Source organism: Homo sapiens, chromosome 2 (assembly GCF_000001405.40).
Source record: "Homo sapiens chromosome 2, GRCh38.p14 Primary Assembly".
NCBI lineage: Eukaryota > Metazoa > Chordata > Mammalia > Primates > Hominidae > Homo > Homo sapiens.
The window spans coordinates 132,866,836-132,881,942 of NC_000002.12; the positions used below are offsets into that span (position 1 = coordinate 132,866,836).

A 15,107-nucleotide genomic window follows, 5' to 3' on the forward strand; every position below is an offset into this window, starting at 1 on the left:
CTCATCTGCATTTGGAGTACACTGTATATTTTATATTGTGCTCTTAATTAAAAAGAAATTTTAGTCTTTTTGCAGCAATTTTACAGTGCCCATAAAAACTGGAGGCACACATTTCTGCAGAACATGATTCTTTTGGAATCTCCAAAAGCCCCCAGCATCTCTTTCTGCCTCATAGTGTCCCTGAGGTATGCTATCTCACAGTAGCATGTCTTTCTGTGTCTCACTGCTTAATTGTACCAAGGTAGATTTATCTGTTTACTAGTTATTACTTGGATTTGTGTAGCTATTTTTTTTTTTGTAGCTGACCTGAAGGGTCCCGTTTTCCTTTTTATCGTACCAAATGGCTTCCTTGTCTCTTTCCTGAGGCACCATTAACAAAAGCAGCCATGGGAAGTCTTTCAACAGTTGTACACAGAGCTGCAATAACACTCCCCTCACTCCTTAGGTTTGTAACTAAGTCAGCATAGAGTTTCAAACAGGAGAAAAACAATCGAGAAATTAAAGCCTTAGAAAAAGAAAAAGAATTCAAAAATGTTGAAGCAGCAATTATAATTTGTCCTCCAATATCTATTTCTCACCTTCTTCCAAAGTAATTTCAGCTGGGCACACACCCAGAACAAAGACCTCTTTGCCGGGTTTGTTTGGTGTGGCTGTGTGAGTAAGGTCTGTTCACAGAGATGTATGTAGTAATGTATGAAAGCTTTTGGAAGTGTCCTTTAAAAGACAGCTGCTGTATGCCCTTTATCATCTTCATATTCCTCAGCTTTTATTCCCTTCCTGATGGCTGGAATGTGTGGATGTGATGACTGGAGCTAGCATAGTCCTTTTGGACCATGAAGTGACCTTGAAAATGGGGCCACATTCCATGAAATACAGAGATGGAAGCTAGGGACCCCAAGGACTTTATGGAGCAAAGTTACCATTCCTGTTCGGCCTACCTGTCGGTTTATATGTGAGAAAGAACTAACATTTTAGCTTATTTAACCCACCTCATTATGGATCTCTGTTGCTCACAATGGAACCTAATTCTAACTCTACGTAAGTGTACTCAAATCTATTTATGCATGTTAGTATAAAACTGGAAGCAGTTAAAATTATTTGTAGAAGGAACTGTGACATTTTGACAGAAATAGTAGGCAAGAAAGTCTAGCAAAAGTATCACAATGCCTGTATCATAGAAATTTTAAAGAATATTTAAGTATCTCCATGAGCAGCAGTCAACCCCTAATAAAATTATTTTCAATTAAAAAAATCAAAATGGCATAAATTATTTTGCTGCCATTTATCACATCATCCTGAATATGCTGCAGGATCTAAAAGTTTCTTTTGGAGAAGTCTCTATTTCACAGATAGAAATCAAAGTAAACAAAATCTGAGGGAACTAAAATTTAGCTTCTCAGAAACTTCATGGCCGGAGATGGTAAACATTCCATAAAATTCACTGAAATAGCCAAATTTGGGCAAAATTGACCTGCATTTACTGTCTGCCCCAATAATGTGATCTGATGTTGTCTGCAGGCAGAATGGCAAGGCAGCAAACTCATAGGTATGGAAATTTCAGGCACAGTGGTTACCATTATTTTATATGTACCACAAACTATTGCAGTAACTGTTCTACATGCTTCCTTTTGTAGGGTCACCACAGCAATCCCAGGAAGCGGGAATTGTTATTCCCACATTACAGAAGAGGAACTAGGGCTCAGGGAAATTAAATGACTTCCCTAACTCTTGCTGAATTTTAGACTTTTGTTAATGCTGTCCAAAAGAAGATACTCGTTTTATAGGAATTGGGAGAATTCACCAACTTATTGCAAGTTTGTATTTACTAAATAAAAATGGTGGGTTTGCTACTCATCTGGGTAAATGAAAATCACCTTCAAAAGGCTTTCTATTATTTTACCGAAAGTTTGGATTTTTTATTACAAATTCTATTGGTCACTGATGTTACTTCATATGCCATGTAAAACACAAACGATTTTCACTAAGTGAATAAATACAGAAGTATTGCATCTATCAATCACAATTTCCTAGCTTAACAACATGAGCTCCAATATAGTCACAAAAGTGCCTTGAAAAGAACAAAGTCAGAAAGTGACCTACCTTTTGAGTAAGCAGAGCTTGAACAACTTGGTTGGCTACCTTTAAAAAATAAAGAAAAAGTTGTCATTTATAATAATGAGACTTTATATGCACCGACTCTAATTTACCAATAAGTTTCTCGCAGCTTATTGTAGCTAATTAGCTCCTCATTTGCCTCTTTCCTCTATATGCAGAGATCTGATTATTTTCATAATAAGTCTATCCTTCTAGGTAATATTTTGCTTTCTCCAAAGGTGACCTTGTTGCTAATTAAGATGGTTACACTTAAAAGATCATTCATACCTTGACTTTCACATTTCCATATTTGGAAAAATGATATCCTTTCATATACTCCAAGAAGGCTAAAAAATGATATAGTGCAAAACACAGTCCTAATTATCTGTCCACAGTTTCTACACTTTGCTGATTTACAATATCCTTTGCCTGTCCTTCCTATTCCTTTGCTGTCTATTTCACTGCTTAATATTACTTGCAATAGAGATAGGTTGAATGGTCTAGCATAGGGACAACTCATTGTTTCCTATGTGTCCTGCTTTCATCTTCAATGTTTTTGCTTAAGTCACGCTCTTGTTGTTGCTACCTGTAATATAATCTGGTAGTTGTTTACTACAACATCCATTTTTTCCCTTCTTCCTGAGTAACAAACCCAATCTTTTGGGGCTGGGCACATTCAACTGCATTTCCCAGCCATTCTTGTAGCAAAATGTTGCCATGTGACAAAATTCTGGCCAATAAGACATAAGCAGACTATTCTCTTGGGCTTACAGGAAGTCTCAAAGAAGAAGGGGGCTCACCCTTCGTCTTCCTGACTAGAAATGGAAGTACAGTAATGGCTGGAGCTTCAGCAGCTACCCTGACAACAACAGTCACATATTAAGGATATTTGGACAGAGAAAAGCTTGGTCCTGATGATGTTATGGAGCTGTACTGTCTATTGAATATCTATGTGGTGGAAATAAGGTAGTCACTGTTATTTTGAGTTTCTTCCAGCGAACAACAAAATATAATTCTTAGTAATTTTTTCAGGGATCTCATTTTCTTCAAGTATCAGGCAGCTTGAGACAGCAGAAGAACCTAAATCCCTCCTCAGCCCAAGGCAGTGAATCTTGATTAATCTAAGCCAATCTTGGCAATTCCAGTGATTGGTTTAGGAGTGGGCATATAACACAATTCCAGCTAAGGACCACATGTAAAACCAGTAACATGTTCCTGGTGTTTCAAATACCTGGCATTTTCTCCAGGTAACCATTCGTTATTACTGTATGTATTTGTGTTAAGATTTCTTTTTCATCTGCATATTTCAAAATACTTTGCATAGAGTCACCTACTAAACTTCACTATTACCTTGAAGCTATGTAGCTACATGGCTACTGTTGATAAAATTAAGGTGGACAGGTGAACTAGGTGGTATTTTTCAGCTAATACATACACTGTAAACATTTAATGTGATAACTGAAATTGACAGCATGAAAGACTAAATCAGAATACTTAAATATCCTAGATATAAGGCACTCTGGTTCATTCATTTCTTCCTTCATTTATCCAATATAAATTTTCTGAGTATCTACTTGCAAAGCTAGATGATTGGGCCATGGTCCTTGACTTCAAAGACTCATACCTGGCAGTGAGTTGGCAAAAACACAATTATAACACAGTGTGACAAACATCTAATCATCATGGTAATTCTTACAGTCAACGGGAGACTGAGGGACACTTTTGTGTTATTTTTCTCTTGGTAACATATTTGTTTTTGGTGGTGCCCAACTATTTGTGCTTCTTTCTCTATCTAGTATAGTCGAACAGATTATAGTAAGAATGTTTCCATGGAGCTTAATTGTTTTTTGACTCAATACTGGCAAATAGTACATCCTTCACAACAGCTGGCTACCAGTAAGTCTCATAGAAAATTAAAACACAGGCTGTCATCAACTTTTGATTAGAAGGCAATCACACCACAAGCAGTAAAAGACTAAAATCAGATTATCTGTAATTGATTAGTTAAATTATATGCACAAGAAGGATTTTTTTCCCATCAGAAGTCTTTTCAAAGTTACATTGCAGACATTAAGTAAAAAAGAAAGGCTCTTCATTGAAACTATGATTTTAAATAAAATGTTTTCTTAGGTATTGTTTTTGAGTGAAGCACAAGTTACAGAACTACCACAGACCAAAATAAACTATACTTTCATTAACTGAGGCCATATGTTCCTTTATCACTTTATTTATATGTGATCACAACAGTGATAAATGTTATCCAACCCACACAAATTGACCAATAGCATAATAGTGAAAGTCAGTTTTCCAGCATTCATTCCAATTCATAAGTAACTGAGAATTCAAAGTCAAACTACATATCATCTATTTTATTGTTGGCAAATAAACAAAACAAAACAAAACAAAACAGAAGAATCGAACTATTCATGCAGGTTGAATCAGGAACAAGGTACCAAAGTTAATTCATGCCATAAATAATTTACTTCTTTTGGATCTCAAACTTTGGATTTGATTTACATTCTCATAAAACTGCCCAATATCAATATTTTCTTTTCTTTCTCCCAATTGGTCTCTCACTGAAACCATTCTGGTAACGGTGGTCACATAAAATAGCTCTATCCATGATTTATCAGGAGACACGGACTAATATCCTAACTCTAACAGCCCACAGGAGGAAATATGTTATATCTCACAATCCAAGCAGTTGCCCTATAGGCTTAGAGACTCTATATCTAACACAGTTCCTTCTGGCATGTACTTTGGAAAATTATTTGCTCCTCTTGAAAGCTGAACAAAGATACACGAATGCCTTATTTCTTTACCTACTGACATGAGGTTATATTACCTAGAAGGACTCACTGCGCTTCTTTGAAAAATATCAGGCAGATTATAGACATGCTTTCCTCCATACTGTCTATAACGACAGTGTCCGAGGTTTTGTTATCGCTTTTAACAGCTAACTTCCCTGATGCATAAATAGGACAGCTGTTTGGAGTTTGTGCCTGCAACCTCTACTAGGCTCAAAAGATAATGCCTGGAATGCGTCCCTGCCCTCAAGCTAACATTATGCCCTAAACATTTGGGTTGCAAATAATCACACACCCATAGGCCCAGCTAGTGAGAACAAATCACTTCCAATGTCATCTGCCAGCTTTCCTCTCCAGAGAAAGGGCAGCAGCTGTGCTAGGCTGCAAGGGACTTGAAGCACACTGGAAAAACAAAGCTGGCAGTCCTTAAGCCACTAGCTTGTAGTACAGCCTTCCTTAGGCTGTCCATGGAGGCCTCTCCCCTTTGCTCCTAGGAGATGGAGCAGGGCTGCAGGTGAGACAGGAATGCCAAGGAGAGCGCCTGAGTACATCTCGTGTTTCCTTCTCAGTAAGAATTTTCTCAGACAATCTAGCTCCTCTAACACATGGCTGATCTTCTACTCACACAAAACTTTGCTCTTCTTCCCTGAAAAACTTCCAGGGCTCGTGATTCCTCCATGCACTCTCTTGGAAGTGGGCGAGCAGAGGGAGGAAAAGCTGGGGCTATGGAGTTCTCTATTATTTTATTGAAAAACAGTCCTTGAAGCTGAATAAGAAGCCACACTAAGCAGTTTATTCAGAGAGGGAGCCAATTCTCAGCCAAGGGCTGGGGTGGAGGGTGGAGAAGCTTCAGGTTTACGGGCGTGGGGAGCGAGGATCTCCATGCTCTATGCTTTGACAGTCCTCTCCTGGCTAGTGGGCTTGCTTTCATATCTTCATGAGCTATTTCACCATGAAAAGCCACTGTCATGTCAACAAAGTAACTGAAAAATCTCATCAGAAAAAGTATGTGTTTTTGAAAATGTGCTTTGGAGAGGTGTTCTATGCTTCTGATCTTGGTTGATTGTACTGAGGCAGCTAGGAGAAAGCATGGAGAATATGGACTTGGGTTAAAACAGTGCCTATGTTAACCTCATACACTGACATGCGCAGGGGATGGGAGAGAAATCTGACTTTTCTCAGCCATAAAATAGGGGAGCTGCCTACCTCTAAAGTTGTGAAAAAGGCATGAGATGATAGACATAATCAGCGAAACCACCTAGGACAGGACTTGATATAAAGCCGTCACCCCTAAATGTGAATCAGGCCAGTTGAACTTCGGAAAATATAATGCATGTTCAGGTAAGCAGTTAAGAAAAAATTATTTTATTTTATTTTATTATTTTGAGACAGAGTCTCACTTTGTCACCCAGGCTGGAGTGCAGTAGCACGATCTCGGCTCACTGCAAGCTCTGCCTCCCGGGTTCACGCCATTCTCCTGCCTCAGCCTCTGGAGTAGCTGGGACTACAGGCGCCCACCACCATGCCCAGCTCATTTTATTTATTTTTTTGTATTTTTAGTGGAGATGGGGTTTCACCATATCAGCCAGGATGGTCTCGATCTCCTGACCTCATGATCCGCCCGCCTCGGCCTCCCAAAGAGCTGGGATTACAGGCGTGAGCCACTGCGCCCAGCCGAAAAAATGTTTTTTAAGAATAAGGGATTCTACTTGGAAAGGCGTGAGGGGTATGTATATGTGTGCGTGTGTTTGTGTGTGTGTCCACATAATATACATGTATAAATGTAAGTCACTAAGCATCTGTATTATTCATTTACTTTGTGAAACAATCCTGTAAGATAGAAACAAGAAAGAAACTCGAAGAGGTAAATACACAGCCCCATACAACATTGGAAAAGGGTGAACAGTGAACCCTAGTCTGCCTAATCCAAAGCCCATGAAGTTCTCTTCTAATTCAAATCAGACTATTTGAAGTGGGTCCACTATTTTTTTCAGCTGATTAATCTTTGGATTATTACTTGGGTTAGTGCATAATAAATGAGTGCTCATCTCTGAAGAGATAACTGAAGAAATTAGTGTAAATATATATGTGGGATTTGGGGAAACACTAATTTGGAAATTAATTTCCTGCTGATACTGTCCATTCATTCATTTAGTCATTCAACAAATATGCATTAGGCACCTAGTGTGGGCCGGGAATCTGCTGGGTCCTGCAAAAATAATGAGGAAACAAATACAGGGACTGCCTCCAGGGCGATAGAATCTGGAGCAAACAAGGAGTAGATCATCTGTAATTTCCAAGAAATGAGTATTTTGAACATATGAAAGTGACAAGTACGATCGTCTTCCATTTCTTTCAAGACCTTGATTTTTTTTTTTTTTTTTTTTTTTGAGATGGAGTCTCGCTCTGTCACCCAGGCTGGAGTGCAGTGGCGCAATCTCAGCTCACTGCGACCTTCACCTCCCGAGTTCAAGTGATTCTCCTGCTTCAGCCTCCCAAGTAGCTAGGCCTACAGGCTCCCACCACCATGCCTGGTTAATTTTCTGTATTTTTAGTAGAGACGAGGTTTCACTATGTTGGCTAGGCTGGTCTCGCACTCCTGACCTTGTGATCCACCCGCCTTGGCCTCCCAAAGTGTTGGGATTACAGGTGTGAGCCACCATGCCCGGCCAAAACCTTGATTTTAAAGATGACGTAGGGCCCAGCTGTAGGATATGCCTGAGAGTGTCCTGGGAATGATTCTACAATCTAGGCTAGGCATGTAGCATGTGGATCAGAGAGACAGGTGAGAAATAGTCTCAGCAACCTACTTCCACCCTTACTTAAAATTCTATTTTTGTCTATTTCTGAACTACATCCAAAGGCCTAGTTTTCAATGTCCTTGCGCTCTGAAGTGTAGAGGTTGGAAAATAACTCAACTCCACCGTCGTCACTGACTGTAAGGGCCCAGCTCTGATTGGAGAGGAAGAAGCAGTTTCTCCAACTTTTCGTGCAGAAGCTCCTCCTGGAATGTTTGTGAAAATTGCCAATTTCCTGTCCCTGCATACTGATTGGGAAGGTCTGAATGAGGTCTACGGATATGCAATTTTAGCAACCACCACACATCTTTCTGATGCAAAGGGCTCCCAGAAACACACCTTGAGAAACACTGGGATATGGTTTATTTTATTTTATTTTATTTTATTTTATTGCCTGTAGCTTTATATTATCTCAGACATTGTTGTGGAATCAGAAGTACTTTAAAACTTCCACATGGGTCTGTGCTCTTCTGTTACTGTATCTAAACTTGGTGGAGGGAGCTTTCATCCTTCTACTGAAAATTTCTGAAAATGCTCTCTACAGCACAGCATTCAGATAATCTAATTGTGGTGTTCTTAACCCCAGGTGAATATTATAATCTCCTGTGGTGCTTTAAAAAAACAGAAAGCCCAGGCTCCACCCAAGAGCAGAGTCAGATGGGAATCTCTGAGGTGTGACACAGCCAGCAGTATTTTTAAAGGTCCCCAGGTAAGTCCACCAAGCAGGTACAGAGGAGAAGCACTTGCTGTTCTGGATCTGAGACCTCACCTGCTGCAGCTTCTTCTGCTGAAGATACCCTTTCCAATTCTGCCCCCTCCTCTGCTCACCTACCCGCTGCTCCTCCTGCCCTCTGGTGACTGCATTCTGTGTTTCCAAAGTCCTCAGTGCAGCTCATTTGCTCTGTGACTTTCTCTCACCTCCCTACTCTATGACTGTCCATCCCTTGCACTTCTCCTGCCAGGCTGGGAGTGCCGTGAACTCAGGGCCTGGGTGAGGCTGACATCCAGTAAAGGTTTGCAGGATACAACGGAATCCATTGAAGTGCCATGCAGTGGTTTTGGATGTTATTTTACTTATTTTACTTCTTTACATGGGAATAGTAGGTATGAAAGAAACTGTGGCCAAGGCAATACTGTGAATAAATAGCAAGTCATTGCTCACCACTAAGTGTCTGTCAAACAGCTAGACTAAGAAACCTGATTCTAACATGCAAACCTCCAAACTCTAAGATTAATCCTTGTTTTTTCCTTTGTACTGCAAGGCTGAGAGATGAGATAGGGAGCAGTAGCGGTGAGGATGAAGTGTATGCAGGCACACCTGTTTGTATACAGGTGTGTGCGCATGCATTTGTAGGTGTGTGCACTTGTGGATGTGCATGCCTAGCAAGCCAGGGTGTATGTGTGTGTGTGTATCTAGGAATGTGAGTCTGTTACCTTCTGAATAAATGTGCTCTTCTATTGGAACACAGATTCTCAAGTGTTTTCCCCAAATCCTCAATATGTTCCTCATTTCCCAGAAAATAACCATCAGTGCAAGAAGGATTGAAGAACATTTTGTTTATTTATTTGAGATGAGGTTTCACTCTTTCACCCAGGCTGGAATGCAGTGGCAGGATTATGGCTCACTGCAGCCTCGACCTCCTGGGCCCAAGAGATCCTACTACCTCAGCCTCCCAAATAGCTGTGTCTACAGGTACCTGCCACTACATTCGCCTAGGTTTTATGATTTTATTTTTTTTATTTTGTAGAGACAGAGTCTCCCTGTGTTGCCCAGACCGGTCTTAAACTTCTGGGCTCAAGTAATCCTCCTGCCTCAGCCTCCCAAAGTGGTAGGATTATAGATATAAGCCACTGTGCCTGTCTGAAAAACATTTTAAATTTACATTTATCCACCTGTGTATGTTTGATGACACCCACTAGCAAGGAAAAAACTTACATAAGGCCTTACCTTGTTAGTTTGTTTAATTAGCATAAAAAACCTTGAAAAGAATTTCCAGTTGGCATTATTACTACATTCAACTACCCCATTGAGAGTGTTCTCTTACAATGTGTGGAAATGGATTATCTACCCTCATGTAATTAGTTATAAAACAACCTGCATGTGTAATCAGGGGTCAGTATTCATGAATACAAAATATGTGTATTGCTTAGAGGCAGTTCTTTGTCACAAATCACCTCTTTGGCAACAGTTAATTTTTGCAACTAAGAACAGAGGAACACGCCCTCTAAAAAGTCTGTCTTCAGTGGAAACTTTATATGAAATGATTTTGTGGATAACTTATATTTTTGTCCCACACATTCTGATGAAACGTACGGAGTGCAGGCATGGGAAACACACAAAATACAGACTATGAGTTTCCATAAAGAAATGTGAGTGTTTTGATTGACAGGGAGGGTTGACCTACGGGAGAACTGGGACAGTTTCTGTGGTGTGAGTCACATAAATCTGACTTCTAAATACAGATAAAATCTCAGCAGAAATTTCTGTGCAGGAGGTTAAAGTGAAACTTTGCTAATCAATACATATGACCCAAAGGCATGGTATGTTCCTTTAAATATCCTTGGATCTGTTTGGTCTTTCTTGCCCTAAACTTTGACTGGACCACGAGCCCAGGGAGCAGTGAGGGCTGCTGAACTGGCCTCACTAGACTCTGAGCCATGTCAGAGTCAACTAACTTTAGTGTTTAACTTTGGACATTGTCAAGATTATTCTGGTCTTTTAAGGTCCTGACAGGGCAGAGAATTGCAAATACCATTTTGCTTGAGTAACCAGTGTATGTGGTTGGGAATATTAAACAATTAACATATCTAATATTAAACAAATAATTTTCTGAGGACATTTTGAGAGTTCTTCAACCACATATAAGTAACCAATACAAAGTGGTATGATGATGACAGTGTCTCAAACTATCAAGTGCGCCAGCATCATCGGGAGGGCTTGTTGACACATAGGTCGCTGAGCCCTACCCCAGAGTCTCTGATTCTGTAGGTCTGTCGTGGGTCCTGAGAATCTGCATTCCCAATGAGGCCCTAGGGGAGGCTGACGCTGCTGGTCCAGGGATCACATTTTTAAAACCACTGGTGCAGGGAGACTCCAAGGACTACTGGACCTCAGAAGAGAGAGACTGCTTCCAGTTTGAAGGGAACAAGAGTTATATACGGCGTTACTGCTGGGAGCTGAGCATGTGTTCCTTATAGATCATCCCATTGACTTCTGAGACAGTGCATTGGAGGAGAGGGGAATGGAGAGGGTAAGAAATATGAAGAGGAGTTTGTTAGAAGAGATTTCCCTCATGGATAGTAGGGAGAAAAAGACTGACGATATATTGGCAGTTCCCACTGGAAAGGTACTGGAACCAGACGAAATGCAGTTCTTCTTTTCTTTCTAAAATCTGCATCAGGTACATTGTAACAAATCTCCAACTGAATTACTCAGACCACAATAAAGTTTTAAGGTGCTAGACAGATGACTAAAGAAGTGATTTCATTTAAATAACAACTGCAATCACTGACAGGTCCTAGGTGAGAACTTGTCAGGGAGCGAATGGCCAATCGTGGCAGGGAGAGACAGGATGCGTCGGTGATTGGTGTGAGCCCTGATGGTGTGAGGTGACAGCGGGGGAGGACGAGGGCTCTGAGCGCATGTCTGTTTTCTCCTCACCTCCCAGAAACTCTCAAATGCCCATTATCTTTGCCATCATCTCTTCATTATCATCACGTAATATTTATCCAGTTTACTCATGCGTATAGCCCTGTCTTCTTCCATTCTGCTCCAATTTTCTTCCTCATTTCTCTTTCTCTTCTTGGCTTGTTCTGAATCTACTGATTTTTTTCCCTCTGGTTGCCAACTGTGAACATCATCCCCACCCACTCTATCAAGGATTTGCTTTTTCAGAAATGGTATCCAACTGGAGATGCAGCATGCCCCGACATGGTTCTTCTCATTCATTGGAAGGGATCACACTTATTGGACAGAAATAATTTATCATGCAGTAAACTGTGGCCCAAGAATATGAAACAACAACCAAAAGGAATATACAGATGCCTGGATAAGGAATTAGGGAGGGAGGGGGGCAGATACACACACACACACACACACACACACACACACACACACACACGCACGCATACACACACACACACCGCCCACACACACACACTTCCTTTTCAATGGCTACATGTTTACTACATTTCTTTGGAGGAGAAAATGCTGATGTTTTGTGGATACTGGTAGCACACACACATTTTGAGATCAGATTAAGGGAATCCCAACTAGTCCAGCCTTGGATCAGGAGCCTCTCCATCCCCCTTACCTCATCAAGACATCGCTCATATTGTTCCCTTTGATTTTCATTCTCCAAAGCCAACGCTGAATTCTCTGCCTGCAGTAAGATACAAAAATAACACAAATAAATCAATGAAATGTTGTGTTATGTGACAACTTATTCCATACAGTTACTAAATATATCTCCTCGTGATCCAAAACAATCTTTTAGAAGTACCTATGACAAGTTCACTCTAAGTACTATTATAAATATCGCAGGGATGACTTCTGTCTTACCAACTTGCTCACTAAAATACATGAGAACTTAAAGAAATGCAAAACTTGATATTCTGAACAGGTAGAAAATCAAATCATGGTTTGATGTGAGAGTGTTCCGTAAAAAGATTACAATGTTTATTTTATTCTGTGAAAATGTAAATGGGAGAAATGCCTTAATCCACTTCATTAAGGCCCATCACAGACTCACAGACTTATATTTGTTTAGGCCACAGAAAAGAATCTCACATAAAGTCATGAAAGCATAATTCCAAATGCAAACTAAATATGTTACTTTCATTGTTAGTCAATGACTTACGTACATAAGATAATGAGAAATGTAAGACTTGAACTATACTTAAGCATCCCCTTCCCCACACTCTTGTAATATTACTGCTTTCTCGCTCCTTAGAGCCATGTGGGTATGTGGTTGAATATGGTTACTAGGTTGACATGTAGAATAGTAAGGGGAAAGAAAAGTAATCACTGGAAGCTTATTAGGTTTTAGAAGGAGCGTGAAATGCTGATATGAAGCTGCCCTCCACCTCAGGTGACCTGGTTCCACTGCAGGTTCCTGTCTGAATCTTCAACTGTGCCAGTGAACCCTTCCCAGGGCTATGACAATGACCACCCGCTCTAAGCCCACAAGCAATCTTGGCTCTACGTGCCCCTTCTCTAAAATCCTCCTTGACATTTGGAAGTAGGGGTATAGTAATCTAAATCAGTATTTTCAAAATTATGGTATGATTTTTAGGTGGTACACAGATCAACATTTTAACTTCATAGTTTTTTCCCATCCGTTTTTCTAAACCTTTTATTTGGAAATAATTTCAAACTTATATCAATGGATGAATGGATTATGGTATGTATACACAATGAAATACTATTTGGCCATAAAAAAGAATGAAATAATATCATTTGCAGCAACATGGACAGAACTAGAAGTCATGTTAAGTGAAATAATCTATGCACACAAAGACAAATATTGCATGTTCTCACTCATATACAGGAGCTAAAAATGTGGATGTCATAACGGTAGAGAATAAAATGATAGATACTAGAGGCTGGGATTTGGGGTAGGTGCGAGAGGGGATGAAGAGACATTGGTCAATGGTTACAGATATAAGTTAGATAAAATATATAGTTAAATAAAAGGTGTAAGTTCTATTTTTTGACAGCAGAGTAGGGTGACTATAGCTAACAACAACGTATTGAATATTTCAAAGTAGCTAGAAGAGAGAACATGAAGTGTTACTAACACATAGAAATGATAGGCTGGGCTTGGTGGCTCACTTCTGTAATCCCAGCACTTTGGGAGGCAGAGGCAGGTGCATCACTAGAGGTCAGGAGTTCGAGACCAGCCTGGCCAACAGGGTGAAACCCCATCTCTACTAAAAATATAAAAATTAACCGGGCTTGGTGGTGCACACCTGTAATCCCAGCTATTCGGGAGAATGAGGTGAGAGAATCACTTGAATCTGGGAGGTGCAGGATGCAGTGAGTGGAGATTATGCCACTGCACTCCAGCCTGGAAGATAGTGAGACTCCATCTCAGAAAAAAAAAGAGAAAAAAGAAATGATAAATACTCAAGCTGATGGATGCCTCAAATACTGTGACACAATCATTATACATTCTATACCTGTAACAAAATATCACATGACCCATAAATACAGAAAATAATATGTATCAAAAAACAAAAAGGATAGCATTAAGAACCTCACAAATCCTTTCCTAAGATTCACAAATTGTTAACGTTTTGCCACATCTGCCATATCGATTCCTTTCCATTTCTTTTCTGTACCTGGAAAGTACCTTGTAGACATGATGCATTTTATTCCTAAATACTTCCACATGTGTTTCCTCATAACAAAGTCATTGTCTTGTACAATCACAGTATAGTTGTTAATTTCAGGAAATATAGGAAATATAAATACAGTACCACAATGTGATCTACAGTTCTTCCAGTTTCACCAATTGTCCCAATAATGTCATTGATAGCAATTTTTTTCCAGTATACAATCCTACCTGTGATCATGTACTGCATTCGACTGTCATTGCCATTCATCAGGTAATCTCTAATCCGGAATACCTTGCCTTTTATTTATTTATTTTTTTTGAGATGGAGTATTGCTCTTGTTGCCCAGGCTGGAGTACAATGGCATGATCTTGGCTTACTGTGACCTCCACCTCTCAGGGTCAAGTGATTCTCCTGCCTCAGCCTCCCAAGTAGCTGGGATTACAGGTGACCACCACCACACCTGGCTAATTTTTGTATTTTTAGTAGAGATGGGGTTTCACCACGTTGGCCAGGCTGGTCTTGAACTCCTGATCTCAGGTGATCTGCCCGCCTCGGCCTCCCAAAGTGCTGGGATTACAGACATGAGCCATTGCACCCGGCCTGGAATAGTTTGTCTTTTTATGTTTTTTATTTTCTTCTTCCCTTCTTTTCCCCCTTATTTCCTCTTCTTCCTTACCTTTCTTTTTTTTTTTTTTTTTCCTTTCTGAGTAGAGGCCAGTTATGTTGTTGAACATCCCTTAATTTGGGCTTCTCTGGAGCTCCCTCATACATATTTGGTGGAAACAGTGCACAGGCAATGCTGGGCCCTTCTCAGTGCATCATAGCAGCCACGTGACATCCATGGGACCTGCTGCTGGACATGTTAACTTTCATCACTTGGTTAAGGTAGGGTCTGCCAAATCTCCCCACTGTAAAGTTACTGATTCTCCTCTTGCAATTAATAAGTAATTTGTGGGGAGATACTTTGAGGCTATGAAAATATCCTATTGCTCATCAATCTTTCACCTACCTATTTAAGCAACCATCAATGATTTTTAACCAAATCATTGATTACCTTGGTTGCATATGG

The 15,107-nt window shown here is 40.1% G+C and overlaps 1 protein-coding gene across 20 annotated transcripts in view; it reads right to left on the minus strand.

Annotated features, from left to right (window-relative positions):
* The window catches only part of NCKAP5 (NCK associated protein 5), a 1,003,049-nt gene that overhangs the window by 195,048 nt on the left and 792,894 nt on the right, over positions 1-15,107 (minus strand). For all 20 annotated transcript variants that reach the window (XM_017003975.3, XM_011511100.4, XM_047444134.1 and 17 more), the window contains 2 exons: positions 12,013-12,081; positions 2,101-2,139 (listed from right to left, as the gene is read on the minus strand). In XM_017003975.3, coding sequence (XP_016859464.1) covers positions 2,101-2,139; positions 12,013-12,081 — 108 coding nt within the window. The remainder of the gene's footprint in view (positions 1-2,100; positions 2,140-12,012; positions 12,082-15,107) is intronic.